Here is a 19,242-nt window from a genome sequence, read left to right on the forward strand (position 1 = left end):
ATATTTAATAAACAAATATTCTTGAAAACTTATGTGCATGATATTATGCTAGGCATTGTGAGGGACAGAGGTCTCATGGATCAAAAACCACTTTTCCCATCAAAGAATATTTTACCTAGTAAAGGAGTTGATTATACACACACACATGCATATATATATATATACACATTCAAAGATATATTTTATATTTATTTATCCACCATGAAATTTATATATAACAACAGGAATGAGTAAATCTGGCATGATAGTGTGCTTCTCTGTAGGGACAGTCAGCAATATGTACAGATCAAAAAGAACATAGTGTTCCTTGAAGACAAGTGAAAACGTTTGCCAGATTGAAGTTATGTTTGAAACCAGGACAAGTACTAGTATCACTTATTTTAAAAAAAATCATTAAGAAGGGCCAGCAAAAACAACAACAACAAAAGCTTTTCTTTTGTTGATCTACATTAAATGCCCAGAGATATTTTATTTTAAACTTTTCAGAGAAGAGGGGGTTAGAGAATCTCATAATTATTAAAATAGTAATTTGTGTGATGCTCAATATTTCTCTGTCTTGGTAGATTTCATTTTAATGGATTTTCAAATTCTAGCAACTGTGTTATAATTTACTTAACTTTCTGTTTGATGCAAATAAGTTAGAACATATTAAATGCACATATTGATTTAATCACACACTTTGTGTATAAAATATAACTAATCTATAAACAGTATAGTATTAATAAAATATGAAGCTGATCTTGGTGGTTTTAGTAAGGGCACTATTTCATTGGCTTCTTCTCAAGAAATAATTGGATATGCTGAAGTTTGAGATTATAGAAACAACAACAGCAGTGAAATGTAGTACACTCAAAAATCAATCATCATGTTTATAATTCTTATCATATAAGCACTAATATACCTAGCCATTGTTCTGATAGAATGTCATGAAAGAATATTATTACTTAGCCAAATTATTCAGTCCTTTCAGGCTAGCTGCATCAACTCTGCTGATTTTGTTGCCATCAAGATGTAATTCCGTAAGGGAAGGAGGAAGACCTGGAATGTGGAATTAAAGATGTTAAATTAGCAGATAAACATTATAAGTACAGAATGTGGACAAACTTAAAGAAGACATATGCCATCAATTTTCTAAAAGACACACAGTTTCAAAGAATCAGCTTTACTTTTATCTTTTTTTTTCATCCCTTTTATAATAATGTGTGCTTTTGGAAGTAGTGGAAGCCCTTGCTATTTTTCTCTTAGGTTGACTTTAACAAAAACCTGGATGATTTCTATCATGTAGTCAATTTTTGTTCTTGGAATAGAAGAACTGAAGTCAACGCTGAGTCTCATTATTCTCTTCCACCTTTGTTAATGGGCTAAAACTGACGTTGATAAAAGATAGTAATTATAAAGTGGGAAAGTCACTATTCGAACCATAATGAAGAGATTACGTATAAATTAAACCCATGTACAAACTTAATTGTCTATTTCATTAATGAGCATCATTAAAAATTAACACTGATATACTGTGCTGGTCTTAGCCTTAATTGACTTTTCCATAAAAGCATCAAATACCTCTGCAAAATGTCTGTGTAGAAACAGCTAACATTTACTTATGCCTATTAAATCCAGAATGTTTATGCAGAAGGAGTGGAGAGGTCTATAATCAAGTGATCTGCCATATGTGGAGCACCTGGGGTAATAATTTTACATCCAAAGTACCCACTAAACCTCTAGATAGTACTTGCATGGCTGTGATTTCCAAAGATCGAGTATTATAAATATAAAAGTTTAAATATTTTATTTTCATTTCCTCCTAGCATCTGAGGCTGTATTATATTTTATACAGCTTTTAAAATAACATATTGTTCCACTTAATAGCAATAGATACAGAGAAAATAGCAAATTGGTTAAGTGTAGAAAGAACATCTGATTGGCAGAAAGTCTTGGCTATTTGTCTATAAAGACACAGAATTGAAAAACCACAGGTTTCATTTTGTCTAAAATTTTTATCACATCACACTGAATTCTGTCAATATTGTCCATTTAATAAAATAGTTTAGTCCATATTTGACTTGAAAATGATTCTTAGTTTCCTATGGTAGCATATTTTGTGTTAGAGCTGCTAGGAAAAGGAACATCTATTTATTGTATGTCTGTTACGCACCGAACATTGACCTTGGCACTTTTCCTACTTCAAATCCTTTAAGCCTCTCAAAACATAAATTATTGGTCACTAATCCCTTTTCACAGTTAAATAAATAAGACTCAAAGTTACAAAGTAATTACAAAGTAATGCAAAATGTATATTTTTTAATGCAGTGCCTCCAGTACACCAATTGCTATCACAACCATCGGCCTTACTTAGTTTCAAAGTGTCTCCCTTTTTGGGATGTCAGTTTCCCAAATGTAAAGTTATAGCTAAGAAGAAGTTTGACTATGGGAGAAAACCTTGCAATAGGTTTGAGATAGACAAATTTGTAAAGTGCATCATTAGCTTCTGCAACTGTGGCATTGAGTTAAAGAACCCATACTCCAGTTATTTTATTTATTTGTTTGTTCATTTATTTTAAATTTTCTTTTTTCTTTTCCTTTTTTAAGATAAAATATATTGAGGTTTACATTGGGCCAAGTACTTGCGTGTACAATACAAGCCTTACTTCTATAGAGTAATCCTCACAATAATCCTAGTAGACAGGGTTATTAATAGCTCCATGTAACATCTAACAAACCTGAGGTTATAGAAATGCAGAATAATTATCCTAAAGTCACAGTACAACTAAATGACTGAGTTAGGTCTCTCACCCAGGTTGATCTAAGTGTATGATTTTTATAGTCTCTACACTACTTTCTACTGCCTTTCCATTTCCATGAGTGATGGGAGAAAATATCACCAGGAGGTTGCTGATATTCAGGCATAGGTATCCCAGCCTAAGCAAGGTGGAATCATGTATTAGATAAGCATAACGATGAATAGAAAGGAGGACTTAATATGCCAACAGAGTGAAATAGTTAAACACACGAGTTCTGACATCAGCACCACACAATTCCATCTCTGCCGCTTCCTAGCTCTAAGAACTTAATTACAATTTTCTTTACCTGTTTAAGCCTCATTTTCCACTTTTATGAAACAGGAATTATAACCCTACTATATAGGGACGTTGTAAGAATCATATAGAAGACTCCATGACAAGCATTTGGCATGATACCCGGAACTAAATACATGCTTAATAAATTGTAGTTACTTAACTTTTCTATTAAGCGGTAGTAAATAAAAGCAAGCTATAAATGATGAGGAAAGAATACCTGGGATAGATAGAAGACATAGCAAAGTAAAGGAAAAGAGATCATGAAATGATAAAAGGTATCAGTGAAGGATATTTTGGAGCATGCATTAAGAGGGACAGCAAAGTCTGAGATTGTGCTAAATGTAAGTCATCTGGCTGCATGAAATAAATTTCAGCAAGAATTTTAATAAGATCTATCTATCTATCTATCTATCTATCTATCTATCTATATCAATCCCCAATTTATATCTATCTGAGATATAAATATTTCATTCCTGCACTGGGGATAGCAAAAGATTACTTGTTACATGCAAAAAATTGGAGACTCAACATGAAAGTGCTTTATGAATTATAAATCAGTCTTTATCATCTATGTATCTATCTATGCCAGTAGTTGCTACTAAGGAAGTCAAAAGCATGCTCTGTATTCAAAAGACTAGGAGGAGGGCAAGGGGTGGTAAGAAAGCATCCTATGGAATATGTACTCTCAGGAGTTGAAATTTCTGTAAAAGAACAATAAAGGACAACTGGTGTTTTCTGTGGCCAAATGTCTACATTTTGTACGCACTCAAGAACAAGGCATCTAAGTTGAGAAAGGGACAGACTGAGGGGAAAACTAGATAATATAGAGGGCTTCTGTGAGACTGAAAAACCCAGAGTAGGGACGATGTGCAAGTTAGAGGAATTTATTATTGGTGGTTTGATGCCTTTTGTAATTCACAAAGACTGGCTTTTGTGCCTCTCCTGGGAATCCCTTGGAACAATGAACTTACCCTTGTGGCTATGTGGTCATTGCTGTGTATTTGTCTGGCTTGGTTTTAGAGAGTAAGCTCCTAAAGGCATGTAGCATATCCTGTTCCCTGCCCTGTCTTAAGTGTTTGGTACATCGCCTACACATACTGATTGTTCAGAACATTTTTAATGCATAATAGAGAGTTATATTAATTCCCTACTTATCTATATGCTAAATATTTCTCTAATTATTTATTTAACTTTAAAACAACTCAATGAAGTGGATAGCAGTATTATTTCCACTTGACAGATAAAGAGATAGAGGACAAATGAATAACTTTTTCAAAGTCTTTGAACCACTTTATGGTAATTTGGGCTCAAGCAAACTGACTCCAAAATCTACACTCTTCACAACACACAACTACCACTATCATTCAGATATTAATAACTGGAGTGTCTTAAAAAGGAAAAAAAAATTCCCTAAGCTATTGCAGACTCAAGATAAAAATTGGATCAATTTCAGAGGTACTCCCATATATCTTTTTTTTTTTTTTTACAAACACCAAGGCATGCTATTTTTTAAATAAATGTACTTTTTCTTTGTGATTTTACAATATTATAAAATCACTGTGCATTAAGTTGTGTCTTAAACTAGACATTAACAGGAGTCTACCCATCTCTACAGTGAGCCTGGATGGCCCCGTGGTCATCCAGACTGAATCACTGGATATAACACTAGCAGTAATAGAGAATTTGCTGGAAATATAAACACTGGATGAAACACTAGCAGTAATAGAGAATTTGCTGGAAATAAGGTTGGCCTCTTAGGTGACAATTCCAGTTTCCACAAGATTTTTTTTTTTTAATTAAAGCCTTTGAATTTAAATTTTTCAAAATGTTTTGGAGAATCTTCTATCACCTTGAGGAATGCTGGTGATATTGGTATCAGCAATGCGGATGTAGGAGAGCTTCTTCATTCCCTGGAAAGCCCCATTTTCAATTCCTGAGCTCTTCAGCGGATTGGTGCCCAGTTCTACAAATGTAATAAGTGCAAGGCTTTTAGAGGAAATTTTAGGATATTACTAGTCACTGTAGTATCTGTTTCAGCAAGCAACCTATAAAGAAATAGGGATTAATATCAACTTGACTAAAAAACAAAAGTGAAGTTAAAGAGCATGCTCCTCAGGAGAATAGCAAAATAGGATAAAAATTTCCCTTATTAAAACAAAAGCCAAACAGACAATGACTTATGAATAATAATGACTTATGAAAAAGACTATTAGTGAAAGCAATACCAATAAAATTATTTAAGATGCATACACAGGTTTGCCCAGAAATCAACTAAAGCAAGTTTACAATTCCCATCTTACGTTATTTATTATTTTCCTAAGGTATTTTAAAATTTTGTTAAAGAATTTCAATCTAGCATTTTATAAGCCAATAATAAAATTACAATTTTTACTATATGTTTAGAGAAATTTTTTTTTTTTTGAGACGTAGTCTCACTCTGTCACCCAGGCTGGAGTGCAGTGGGGCCATCTCGGCTCACTGCAAGCTCCGCCTCCCGGGTTCACGCCATTCTCCTGCCTCAGCCTCCCGAGTAGCTGGTACTACAGGCCCCCACCACCACGCCCGGCTAATTTTTTGTATTTTTAGTAGAGATGGGGTTTCACCATGTTAGCCAGGATGGTCTCGATCTCCTGACCTCGTGATCCGCCTGCTTCGGCCTCCCAAAGTGCTGGGATTACAGGCATGAGCCACCGCGCCCAGCCATAACATATTTTTAAAGCAAATGATTTATGAGTGTTTAGAATACAACAGGTCCCCAAAACGGAAAGGTATCTCAAAATATCTGTAGTTAAGCACTATTTAAACTCATCTTTGCATATTGTGTGTGTGGTAGGGTAACTTCAGCCCTAGGGTTTTCTCCATATTCTCAGATACTCAAGGACATACATAAAAACATCACTGTAAGGTCCAGATTCAAAATCCCAATTTCTCTTGGCCCTGTTCTTATAAATCACATAGGCTCCAGGCATGTAGCTTGTAGCTAATTTACCTTCCTGCACTTAAAACCCAGTTGAAATCTCTTAAGATAAAAACTTGAGTTTTGGTCTTAAAGTTATAAAAATGTCTGTACCTATGACAATCATCTGGTTCAGTCCATTGAAAGTAACTTTTCGCACTTTGGTGATCTCATTCTCATGGGCACGCAGCTCCTGAAGAGTTTTGGGCATTTTTTCTGGCAATTCCTTCAGCTGATTCTTGGACAGATAAAGTCGTTCCAACTTCACCAAAGGTGTAAATGCTCCAGGACTAACTTTGCTAATTTTATTGTTGACAAGAATCAATGCCTGTAGATAGTGAAGAAAAACATCTCTTTAAATCCAAAACCTTCCACATACATGTAAAACAAGGGCATGTTTGTTCATTCCATTCATAGGGATAGCAGAGAAATCTAAAAAATTGCAAGAAATCAGAAAAAAATTAAGTAAGTATTATTTCTTTACTTAAGAAGTGTATAGGCCAGGTGCGGTGGCTCATGCCTGTAATCCCAGCACTTTGGGAGGCTGAGGTGGGAGGATCACTTGAGGCCAGGAGTTCGAGACAAGCCTGGCCAGCATGGCGAAATCCCGTCTGTATCAAAAATACAAAAATTAGCTGGGCGTGGTGGTGGGTGCCGGTAGTCCCGGCTACTTGGGAGGCTGAGACAGGAGGATCACTTGAACCTGGGAGGCAGAGGTTGCAGTGAGCTGAGATCACACGACTGCACTCCAGCCTTGGTGACTGGGAAAGATTGTCTCAAAAAAAAAAAAAGTTATAATATGAGGACCTGAAAATCAGGAATGAAGAGAAGGGAAATGTAATAAGATATATAATATATACATAAACATACATGCACTCTACACACACAGACATGTATGTATGTATATGTACGTGTATATATCTATGTAATTTTTAAATAATAAATACTGCTAACAATTGAAATGACCCTAGATACCTGAAAATAATCAATGCCACAGACATCCATCCCGCAGTCAGCTTTTTAACTTAAAAGTCCATCTTCATTGATCATGAACATGGATTCCGCTACAAAAGGATGATACCAATTTATGCTATCACCAGCAATGCAAGGAACTAAAATTTTCCCGTAGCCTTGCAATATTTGATATTATGTTTCTTAAGAGTATGGCCAAAATAATATCATGTTGTAGCTCATTGCTTTTCTTTGTATTTCCTTGTCATTTAAAAAGGTTAAACTATTTTTTTTTTATTTTCCTACCATTTATTGTATTTTTTGGAGAGAGGAGATTGCTTGATCACCAATACTTCTCATGTTTATTAAATTTTAATATAGGTTAATAATTGATTTAGAAAATAAAGATATGGTCAATATGACACAGAGAGCCTTAACATATTTTTCTCCTGATTTTTTTTTGCCTTTTTTTATGTGTAAAGGTTTTATATGACAAATACGTTAATATTTTGGGTAATTATTTGATTTTTATTTCTGAGTTCTCCTTATATAAGAAATTACCTCTAATTCATTATTATTATGCTTATAACAATTGCTAGGCCTATTTTTGGACTATTTTATTCTTTTTCAATTATCTGTATGTCTAACAAAACCACATGGTTTTATTATTTCAAGCCACTTTATTAACTAATTATAAGGAACTTAAAATAACTTATTAAGGTCTAATTTTGCATTTTCAATTATAGTATATGTTTCGCATATATGAAAATGTGGAGGGGCAAAAGGGGACCTATAATAGGAAAGCGAGTATTTTTAGTCTCAGAAATGCAAGAATGTTTTCTAAAGGTAATAGCTGATTAATTAATATATGTATATCCTCATATAGTTCACATTACTCGATGAATTAAAACTTCTTATTAAGTAACATAATCATTTAACTAATCCTGAAAGATGCATTGGTTGATTGATACACAATTCTAACACACTGCGATTAATAATCAAAAGTTCAAAAACTTGTGGGAGTTAAGGTCATAAAAAAATTGACATTAACAAACAAAAAATCAGGGAAAAGCCAGAGCCAGCTGAGTGGAGTGAGGTGACATATATCATTACAAGACATCCAAAATTGTGGATGCCTAATGAAAATCGCAAAGGAGATATTCAATTCCTATCCATAGAAGACCATTTTGAAAGTGTGATATAATTAGATGTATTAAACATGATCTGAAAAATCTGTATTATGTTAAATGTTTTTAAAACCTGACTTTTAATATGATTTTTTTCTCCAAAGCCATTTATGTAGGTCTTACACTGTACCAAATATTGTTCTAAAGGCTTTTTTGGTGACTGTTACATTTATAGGCAATTATTAGTGCACATACTCAAGCCAGAATTCTGAGTTTAGAATCTCAAGCTCTGGGTCTTATTTGGCCTGTGACTATGAGCATGTAACTTAACCTTTCTGTGCCCATTTAAAGGAGATATCAAGTGTGACTACCTCATAAGAATAGTTATAAGAATTAAATAAGTTAATGTATATAAGGTACTAAGAATAGTGCCTAGTATATATAGTAATTGCTAAACAAGTGTTTGCTTTTGTTCAGTCTTTGACAATTTTTGCTGATTTTTAATTAAAAAAATTTTCCTTACTCAACTTATTAAGCTTCAATTCAAAGAAAATATATTAAATGTTGTCATTACCACACTTAATTTTCCATTATTTTATAGAACAATTATATAGTTTTTCCCACTATATATAGGTATAAAATTACTCTTATGTAACACACACCACTCATAATGAAGCACATACAGGGAACATGATTCTGTTAAATTCTTTCTATTTTAATCCTTGCTAAATTTTCATTTCTCTCCTTCCTTAAGTGTGGCTTTGCTAGGTGAAATTATGATGTTTATTTGCAAAATAACAAGGATAGAAAGGATCATGAATGAAACAGTAAGAGAAAAATAGCTGCTTAACATCCTCTGAATGGTTGAAGGCTCTAATGAACTCTCTTTATTCATCTGATGTATACTTTGAAGTAGAAAGAAAGAGATTGTCAAGATGATGGCTGCCTAAAAACAGAAGGAGTCTTAGGAAAAGAAACAACACATTATTACAAATGCCAGATTTAATGAGAATGTCATGGACACTAGATGTCACTTACTTAAGGATATAAAGGGTTTTTTTAAAAAATATTCCAAGTATACTTAAATGTACAGGAAGTTGAGATGACAGTAAGAATGTTTCATCCTTTAAAACAGTAGCTATAAGGCAAACTTATCCAAATAAAAGTTTTAAAAATATTTTAGTAATCTAAATTTAATAATATTCATTTTTTATGGTCTCCTTTTTAAACTTATGCCAACAGTAGCTTAAATAGTCACTGAAAACCTTGCTGGTTTCCCCATCAGCTCATTCCCGGTGAAACCTTAAGGTGAAGTGAGGGGGAGTTGGTGAATAAGGTTCTCATCAGCGGAAAGAGACCCAAAGGTCGGAACCTCCAGCTTGTCCTTATCCTCCATTGCTTCAGCTGTTTCTTTCACTCTAGCCAACTCGTATTTTTATTTGTCTGTTTCTTATTTTCTTCTGCCTTTGCTTTCTTCTTGTACAGAAAGTCCTTCAAACTTCTGCTGATCGTCTAAAACTCCTTCCTCGCATATTCTCTCAAAACTGTGTCTGGTAATTGGATAAATAATGATGCCTAATTTTTTCTTTTACTTTAAGTCCATAACACTCACTACTCATATCATATTGTGCTTATATTGTTGGACACGTCAATAAATTGATCATGGCACTGTTTTATCTACCAATTTTTTTTTTTTTTTGAGATGGAGTCTCACTCTGTCACCAGGGCTGCAGTGCAGTGGCGTGATCTCGACTCACTGCAACCTCCCCATCCTGGGTTCAAGCGATTCTCCTGCCTCAGACTCCCGAGTAGCTGGGACTACAGGAGCGCGCCACCATGCCCAGCTAATTTTTTTATTTTCAGTAGAGACAGGGTTTCACCATGTTGGCCAGGATGGTCTTGATCTCTTAACCTTGTGATCCACCCGCCTTGACCTCCCAAAGTCCTGGGATTACAGGCATGAGCCACTGCACCCGGCCTTTCTGCATTTTTTAAAATGGTTCCTTGTAGAGTCTTAAAATTTTAGAAAAAAATTTTTCTTCCTTTAAAAAAATCTGGTATATTTTCTTCTAATGGCTAAATGTTTACTGCTTTTCCCATCTTGGCTATTGTAAAGTTTATAACTAAATGGTATCTTCATTATAGTAACTCTGTAATAATTATGACCAGTTTATTCTATTTTATATTATTTCCTTTGTATCTATATTTTTATTCTAATGTATATCAGATGATTTATATTTATACTTTAGTAAGTAGTGCCTATTCTCATGACATATCTTCCTCAATTATTTTCTATAATGACTAGAATAAATAAGTAGATATGAAATTAGAGTTTGGTATGTTTATGCTCCCAACATTAAGAATGTATTCCTATGACATTCATTATACGAAGCTGTGAACTCTAATCTCCACAGGCAGGTAACAAATCACTAGGTAAGTCTCTGTATTGTCTGAAAATTCTGATTCTTTAATTTTTATTTTTAATATTGAATAAAAATCTGCTTCTGTAAAACTTCTACTCACTAGGAGGATTCTGTCATCTTGTAGTTGAAACAAGTAAATACCATTCTTTTTCTTCAACATGGCCCTTCAAATGTGCCACTAGTGACCCTCAACACTGAGTTTAGACATCCACCTCTCCATCCACGGTGCCTATGAGACCTAATTTCCAGATTCTTTATCTCCATGGTCATCCTTCTCTAGATGTTCTTGAATGCCTTTCTTAAAATGCCAAGAACCAGACTCAATGCTTCAGAGTGGTCTACCAGAATGGAAGTAGACACAGTGAGATTTCCAGAGTATATATTTTGGACATTGAAGTCTGCCTTATTTATATTTAATGTGCACTCATATTTTGATGGAAGACCACATCACACTCATTCTACAGATAGAGAACTGGGTGAGAAAATGCATTTTATAGTGATTCTGGTGTTCTGTGTGAACAAACAATGCATTTACTGTTACAGAAGGTTCTCTTAGCAAGGCTTACCTCTATTTTATTGGGTTGGTCATTTCCCTTGTATAGCATATTCTCTCCCAACTACCACAATATTCATTCTTTGCCCTTTTTTGGCCCTTCTTCAAGTCCTGGGAAGCTGACCTCTGGGGAATGCATTAATCAAATGCCCTTGTCTTTTGGTCTGAAGTAGATGCAACCACACAAGACACAGGCAGGAAATTAAGAGGTGGAACTACCCAGCTCTCCCATGGCTCTGAGACCCTCAAATTCTTCTAGACCTTTGTGGGACTGGGTGCTTCACAGTGCCTTGTTGGGTTCCCATGCCCCTTTGCAAATAGAGGTTTCAATAAAGTCTCCTCCATGAAACCCCTTTGTGAGTGGCATCTCTTTTCTGATGAAATCCTGACTGATAGACTGAACATTATGATAGAGTAGAGAGATAAGAGAAAATCAAAATAAACATACAGATAAGGACACAGCATGCATAATCCTAAAGATAAAGCAAGAAACATATATATGAAGATAGAATTATATTTCGCTAAATGAAATATGAATAATTATCTTTTTTTCACTTGATTCCAATCTTTGAGACTTTAGAACATCATTCACACCTCTCTTAGAAAATGCATGAAAACAAACAAAAGAAACAAAGAAATAAAATAATACTAGGATCAATCCATTTTGTGTTTTGTTCCACTATTAAAATACAATTTAATTTGAAAGACAATTTTTATTCCTGAAAACGTGAGAGAGAATTAAGATCTAAAGTATTTTTATGAAGAAAATACCTAAGATATATGGGGTATATGTATTAAAAAAGTCAGGTAAATTGTTAGTGGTTAATAAATATGATGCTTTGCTTCCCTACCACTGCTAAAAAGGTAAACTATCGCAAGAACAAAAAACCAAACACCGCATATTCTCACTCATACGTGGGAATTGAACAATGAGATCACATGGACACAGGAAGGGGAATATCACACTCTGGGGACTGTGGTGGGGTCGGGGGAAGGGGAAGGGATAGCATTGGGAGATATACCTAATGCTAGATGACACGTTAGTGGGTGCAGCGCACCAGCATGGCACATGTATACATATGTAACTAACCTGCACAATGTGCACATGTACCCTAAAACTTAGAGTATAATAAAAAAAAAATTAAAAAAAAAAGAAGCATAATTCAAAAAAAAAAAAAAAAAGAAAAAGAAAAACAGTGTTTGGGGCAGAATTAATAAAAAAAAAGTAAAAAAAAAAAAAAAAGGTGAAGTTAATAAACACTAATGTGCTTCTTTGTTGGTACATAGTACTCTTGGCCTTATCTAGGTAGTGTTTTGAAAAATACCTTGAGTCTTATCTTATTGTGAGTTAAAAAAAAATAGTTCTTACGTGAAGGTTCTTCAGGTTCTTAAAGTCTCCATCTTTGATTTCGGTTATTTTGTTGTTTTGCAGGTCTAGCAGAGTTGTGTCAGGGGGAAGATCCTTTGGCACTTTGTCCAGACCTAGCATAAGAGTAATAGGAGTGTGCTGTGAGTAGAAAGGACATGTGGCTACAGAATCACACAGCATATATTTACCAAGAAATTAATGTTATGATGATCATCTTAACAGTAACAACATATTTTTCTTCTTCTAAGAATTACATTCATTGTAGGGTAAAATTTTTGCTTTATCTTTTGCAACCAAGTCAAATGACTTTTTGTATTTAATAATAAACTCAACATGATATTTTCCTCATGGAATTATTCCTCTGCATTAGGGGAACATTTGTGTTGCATTAGGGTGTGGCTCAAATCTATATGTTTTACCTCTTTGTTGTTGTATTGAAAAGTAGTTATTTTGATAAGTAGTCAGCACGAGTGATTGGCAAATTTATACATTTTTACATAAATACCGTGTCAATAATTACTCTAGCCAAATCATCAGTAATAAAGATCTTTTTGATACACCTAACCCTGTCACAGATCTACAGTTAAAATCATATAAACATATAATCAACTTGTGGCAGGATCTTGAAAATTTATCCAACATTTTGGGATAACGGTTCTTTTAGTTTTCATTGGAATGCCAAAACAATATCCATTTCAGTTGATATTTTATGACCAATAGATATATGGCTAGTTAGAATGAAATAAATTGGGTAGTATGACATATCTGAAATTAATTTTATGAAGCATTACTTTTGGACTTTAGATTTTGGTCTAGCTGAGTGTATTATTGTTTTTAGTTTGTAAATGTAAATTCATTGAATTACCAAATGGTCCTGGTATTAAAAAATATTTTAGTAGTCATTCAGCTAGTCATATAAGGATGAACCAGAATTATACAAAAGGCAGTTATTTTTGAATAAATCATCATGAATCATAATAGAGAAAATTATTAAATAAGGCCTTTTGCCTTTCTTTTTTTCATTGTTTCATATTGAAGTAGGACATCAAGTAAAAATTTGATATTCTATTAACTCAAATTAATGTGATCATTTCTGTATTTTAAGACTGCATAACACAAATCAGAAATATTTTTTAGCCTTTGGTAGAAGCAATCTCTCCATCATATCTGAAACTTGAAGTACTGAAGATTATTTTTTCATAAATTCAACAAGCCTTTATTGAATACCTCTTGGGCACCATGAATTTATTAGATCCTGGGAATATAGCAGGACCAAGGCAGATATTGCCCGTGACTTCATAAAAATATAATTCAGTTTACTGTTTTCAATTAAAATAAAATTACAACAGGGTATAATAACCGCTATGTCGAGAAAATCACTTTTCAATTTTGAGTTTTATGTAAACATACTTGTAAACCACCATGGTAGCCATACTTTGACTGTCTTCATTTCTTCCATGAAAGTTACAGAAAACGTACCTGAAGCTACCTATTTCTGAGTCTTTTCCAAATATTTTTTTATTTATAATATCACTGCTCCATTGATAGTTGGGGTTGCAGGTGGAATCTTGTTCTTAATTCAGTGACCACCTATCTTTATAAGTTTAAGTATCAAAATACAAGTAATTCTGAACTTACATAAATATGTTACATAAATGTGTAACTCTTATAGACACAGTTCCCATAGAAATAACAAGAGTTAAGTGTTTTCAGTGATGAACGGTAAAACACCAGAACAGCTACCTTGTAGGAGGTTGCTTAATGACACTGTACAGTTGTAATCACTGCCATTTTCGGAAATGTCAATTTGCTAATTTCATGCAATTAGGAATGGTAGATTTCTGCCAAATCTTTGTTAATTGGTGTTCTCCAACCCAGAAAAGACAAACTTCTTTTCATTTGGAACGTAGTTACTACATTTTATCATTCCTTCTTGGGCACCTTCATCACAGTCCTAATTTCCACTTACGCTTGCTTTTATTCATTGGCGAACTTAAATTCTAGTGACTCTCAACATTTTGTCAATGCGAAACTGCAGATAAAATTTCAAATGTGTAGGGAAAGAATGATGTGTCTGGATGGCTGACACTTTCACTTATGTTGTCATCCTAAAATTTTATAACACTAGGAACTACTTAAGGTAATTTATATACATCTTATTTCTAGAGATTCAGAAAAAAGGAATACCATCCTCAGGATTCTAATTCTTGTAGTTTAGTTCTTGGAGAGTCATTTCAATGATTAAAATTATAGTTCTACAACCTGCTCTGAATTAGTAAATTTATGTTTATTGGGGGGATTTCACATATTTTTTATTAATAATTTAGTTTTAGAGTTTATTTTTAAAAATGAAAATATGTTATTATTTACCTTACAATAACCCAATGAGATAGGTAAGGCAGTATGGTAATCTCATACTTTCAATTATTTTAAAAAGTTTCATAACATGAACAAGCTTATCTAGTTAGGAATGACAAAATGTGGATTAGATGACAACTCTCCTGGCTTCCAGCATGACTTTTTTTTCTGGCATACCTATCTGTATCCCCTGAAATAATTGTTCTGACATCAGACCCAGTAATATGCTGTACCTGTAAGGGGTAGATAAGGCATTGGAGTGTTAACTAGCTTGCTCAAAGACAAGAGACAGAGTATAATGAAGAATTTACTCTAGTTATTATGAGTTCTCTGAATGTCACAAAGGGAAGGGTCCTTAAATATCAGCTAATCTATGGTTCCCAAATGCTGATTAGGTAGACTCTATGATGAGGTTTTTAGCAATCCATATCAAAATAAAAAAAAAACAATAAAAGCAGTGTGGTTAGTTTTAATGTAAATTATCTCAGACACACACACACAGACAGACAGACACACACACACACACACACACACACAATTTCTGAGACCATCTGAGACCATTTCCTGCCTTCACTTCCATTTCTACTTTTAAATACACCTTCTTTAAAAAATGATTATGATAGCAGATGGCAGGCTCTTCTTTTGTTAGGTTTGGTATTGACTTTAATGAGAAATTAACTCGTTCAACATTCAAAATTTTACTTATCCCAGAAATCAGAGAATTTTAAGGCAGTCTAATCTTCTCATTTCATAGGTAAGGAAACAGAAACCCAAAGAAGTTAAATAGCTTATCTAAGGTGCCTCATGGCTAAAGTAGATCAAGAACCAGGATAGTTTGAGTCCTCACTCCAGAACTATGTTTTTTGTTTTTGTTTTTGTTTTTGTTTTTTTGTTTGAGACAAGAGTCTTGCTCTGTCGCTCAGCCTGGAATGCAATGGCATCATCTCAGCTCACTTTAACCTCCGCCTCCCGATTCAAGCGATTCTCCTGCCTCAGTAGCTGGGACTACAGGCGTTTGCCACCAGTGCCTGGCTAATTTTTTGTATTTTTAGTAAAGATGGAGTTTCACCGTGTTAGCCAGGATGGTCTCGATCTCCTGACCTCATGATCCACCAGCCTCGGCCTCCCAAAGTGCTGGGATTACAGGTGTGAGCCACCGTGCCTAGCCGTGGTGTGCCATTTATGCATGTGATCATTGTGCATATTTTCTAATGCTGATCTACAGCTATTCCGTGAGCATATTACACTCATTCCTAGCTACTCAATTTTTGTTCATGCAATGCATATTTTATGTAAAACTCCACTTATTCATTTATTTCTATTTCCATTCTAACAATCCCTTGAAGCATATCCGTTATCCCTCTCCTCTGTAATATTCATGCTGACCACCCCTGTATAACAGTAATCTTGCACCTCTAAACTTCTTACAGGCCATAGATGTATAAGTTTAAACTATACTGTCCTGCATTTCAGGGTCTTTGTTTGTTTTGTTAGTTTATTTATTTTTTTCCTGAGTAAGGAGGACTAATTACTGTTTCTCATCAGCATTTTGCTCTGGCTGCTTTGAAAACAAGAAGTGCCTTTCTGATTAATTAATTTTAAAGTCTATCTGCCTTGCTGTCCCATGATGAAAAGTTTATGAGTATGGCTTTGAGATCATTTCTGCCATGTTCTGTTATAACCATCTCCCTATAACCTGCTATCATAGGAGTTTTTATTTTCCTCAGAAGTATTAGGATACAACTGGTTATAATAATTATATTTTTTCCTGTTTCCAGGAATATTTTATAAATGAATGCTACTTACTATCAAATATGTCATTCCCATTATCTGCACCTGAAAATTGCTCTTACTTTCTTCAGTGTCTTTGCCATATTTGTGAAGCACCTTTTGTCACATACATATCTCAAGAAGACTGATTTTTCTGTCTAATAGAGTGACTACTCCAGCAGTAAGAGTTTCTCTACATGGCATATATTTCTCCTGGAAAAGCATCAGTTAGAAGCTTCTAAATGAAGAAACAAATCCCCATTCATAGATTTGTATTTTCAAAAACAAACAATTAATCCTGAATCTGATTAATCCTCTAAATTCCAAAAGAAAATGAAGAAATTGTGAATCTGTAGTGTAAAGGAGAGTTAAGAGATGTTTTAGCTGGGTGCTGTGGCTCTTGCCTCTAATTCCAGAACTTTTGGAATCTCAGACAGGTGGATTGCTTGAGCCTCTGAGTTCAAGACCAGCCTGGGCAACATAGCAAGACCCCATCTTTACAAAAAATTAGCTGAGCATGGTGGCACAAGCCTGTAGTCCCATCTACTCGGGAAGGAGGATCCCCTGAGCCTGGGGAGGTTGAGGCTACAGTGAGCTGTGATCATGCCACTGCACTCCAGCCTAGGCAACAGGGGGAGATCCTGTCAAAAAAAAAAAAAAAAAAAAAAACCAAAAAACAGAAGCTATTTTTAAAAAAAGCAATGTATGTACTTCATCTGGATCCTGACTCATATAAATAAGCTATAAACTATGGCTATTTTATTTGAGAGCTTTATTTTTCAGAGAAACATACTGGTAAGTGTATTGTTAGATAAAATCATATATCTGGAATTTGCTTCAAAATGATATGGAAGTGGGTGGAGATAGAAAAATAACGGCATTAGTTGACACTGGTTGAAGCTCTGTGGTGGGTACCCAATGGGGTCATTTTATTCTGCAGAATTTTCATATTTAAACATGCTCCTATAATAACATTTTTTTATAAGACTGTTATGTGAATTTCAATTCTGGTTCCTCTTCTTTATCTTTAAGATTAGAAGACATATTGAGGCCGGGCGCGGTGACTCACGCCTGTAATCCCAGCACTTTGGGAAGCCGAGGCGGGTGGATCACGAGATCAGGAGATCGAGACCATCCTGGCTAACACGGTGAAACCCCGTCTCTACTGAAAAATACAAAAAATTAGCCGGGCGTGGTGGTGGGTGCCTGTAGTCCCAGCTACTCAGGAGGCTGAGGCAGGAGAATGGCGTGAACCCGGGAGGCGGAGCTTGCAGTGAGCCGAGATCGCGCCACTGCACTCCAGCCTGGGTGACAGAGCAAGACTCTGTCTAAAAAAAAAAAAAAAAGAAAAAGAAAATTAGAAGACATATTGTTTAAACCCTCTGTCCTCAGTTTTCTTAAGTCTTTCACAGAATTTTTGTGAGAATTCAATAAGCTATGCTACAAAATAATCTCCTACCATAGTGCATAGCAGCGTCTCAAGTATTGCTACCTATGATTATTATTAATAAGCAAAATAGAGGGTGTTGCTCTCATTATCCTTCTGAATAATCTTTCTGATTATTCATCTGTAACTCTTTCTTTTCTGTACAATTACTATGCATATTATCCTAGAGGCTGAAATCTGTTTTTCAGGTATGTCAAGCACAAGGTGTTCATCTAAAGATCTTGGTCCTGAAATGTTTTTGTCTTGACAGTTATTTCCTGGTCTTTCTGCATTCATCATTGTTCCCATGAAGTTCAGGGCCTTTGGGGTGCTTGTCTACCAAGTTCAGGGCTTTTGGATAAGCCTTCAGTTTAGGAAGCACATGATCCCCAATGAGTAATTAGACTCCTCAAAAACTGCTCCTGGTCAATTTAACCCTATTTTAATGGTAGCAAATGCTACACTCTTTTGCAAATCTATAAAATATTACTCTTTGTTTGTACATCATTAGAGTCAGAATGGCTCGGGTTAAAATCAACTTGGCTGTTAAGGAGAGATGACCGGAATCTGTAAGTTAGCATTCCTCAGGCTCCATTTCCTCATCTGAAAACACCAAGCCGGAAGTAAATTGTGGTAGAAATACACGAGGACCAGAGATTATTTTTGATAATTGCAAAAAGCTTATTTGAACTAAACCTAATCTTCAAAAAATATAAAAACAGATAGTATTCTATGAAACAGTTATCCTACCTTAATTTTTTTAACTTTTAAATAAACAAATTTAAATTCTGCCTTTAAGCCTATGATTGTATTAATTGTATGTGATTTTTAACTAAATAATTCCTATTGATACTGATGAATTTTATGGTTATTCATAAAATGATATAAAAAGTAAAATGTTAGCATTTTAAATTATATGTATCAATTAGCCAGGTTCAATTTATGTCCAAAAAATGTTCCATAATGAAAACAAAGTCATTAAGGTACGACTTAATACTTTTCTCACAATCTTAAGTAGAAGAATTAAGTAACTATGAAGTTAATTTGTAAATTAATTTAATTATAATTATTTAACATCTTAATGTAGTTTGTAATCATTAAATAATGACCTTCATGGGGGACATGTAATATCTGTGGGCTTTCTCTACATAATACATAATTATGCTCAAACTTCTCATTAGAAATGTATATAAATGTAAGTAAATATGTAGATGATTATATTTTTCAAAGATGGC

The 19,242-nt window shown here is 34.3% G+C and overlaps 1 protein-coding gene across 6 annotated transcripts in view; it reads right to left on the bottom strand.

Moving 5' to 3' along the window:
- DCN (decorin) overlaps positions 1–19,242 on the bottom strand; it is a 42,334-nt gene that overhangs the window by 11,668 nt on the left and 11,424 nt on the right. For 2 of the 6 annotated variants that reach the window (NM_001920.5, NM_133503.4), the window contains exons 3-6: positions 12,454–12,566; positions 6,145–6,358; positions 4,924–5,037; positions 945–1,038 (exon numbers count right to left, since the gene is read on the bottom strand). The exons of 1 other annotated variant lie outside the window; for it this stretch is intronic. In NM_001920.5, coding sequence (NP_001911.1) covers positions 945–1,038; positions 4,924–5,037; positions 6,145–6,358; positions 12,454–12,566 — 535 coding nt within the window. The remainder of the gene's footprint in view (positions 1–944; positions 1,039–4,923; positions 5,038–6,144; positions 6,359–12,453; positions 12,567–19,242) is intronic. 3 more of the 6 variants (NM_133504.3, NM_133505.3, NM_133506.3) reach the window with 3 other exon arrangements.

The sequence above is a fragment of the Homo sapiens genome, chromosome 12 (assembly GCF_000001405.40).
Source record: "Homo sapiens chromosome 12, GRCh38.p14 Primary Assembly".
In the NCBI taxonomy this organism is placed as follows: Eukaryota; Metazoa; Chordata; class Mammalia; order Primates; family Hominidae; genus Homo; species Homo sapiens.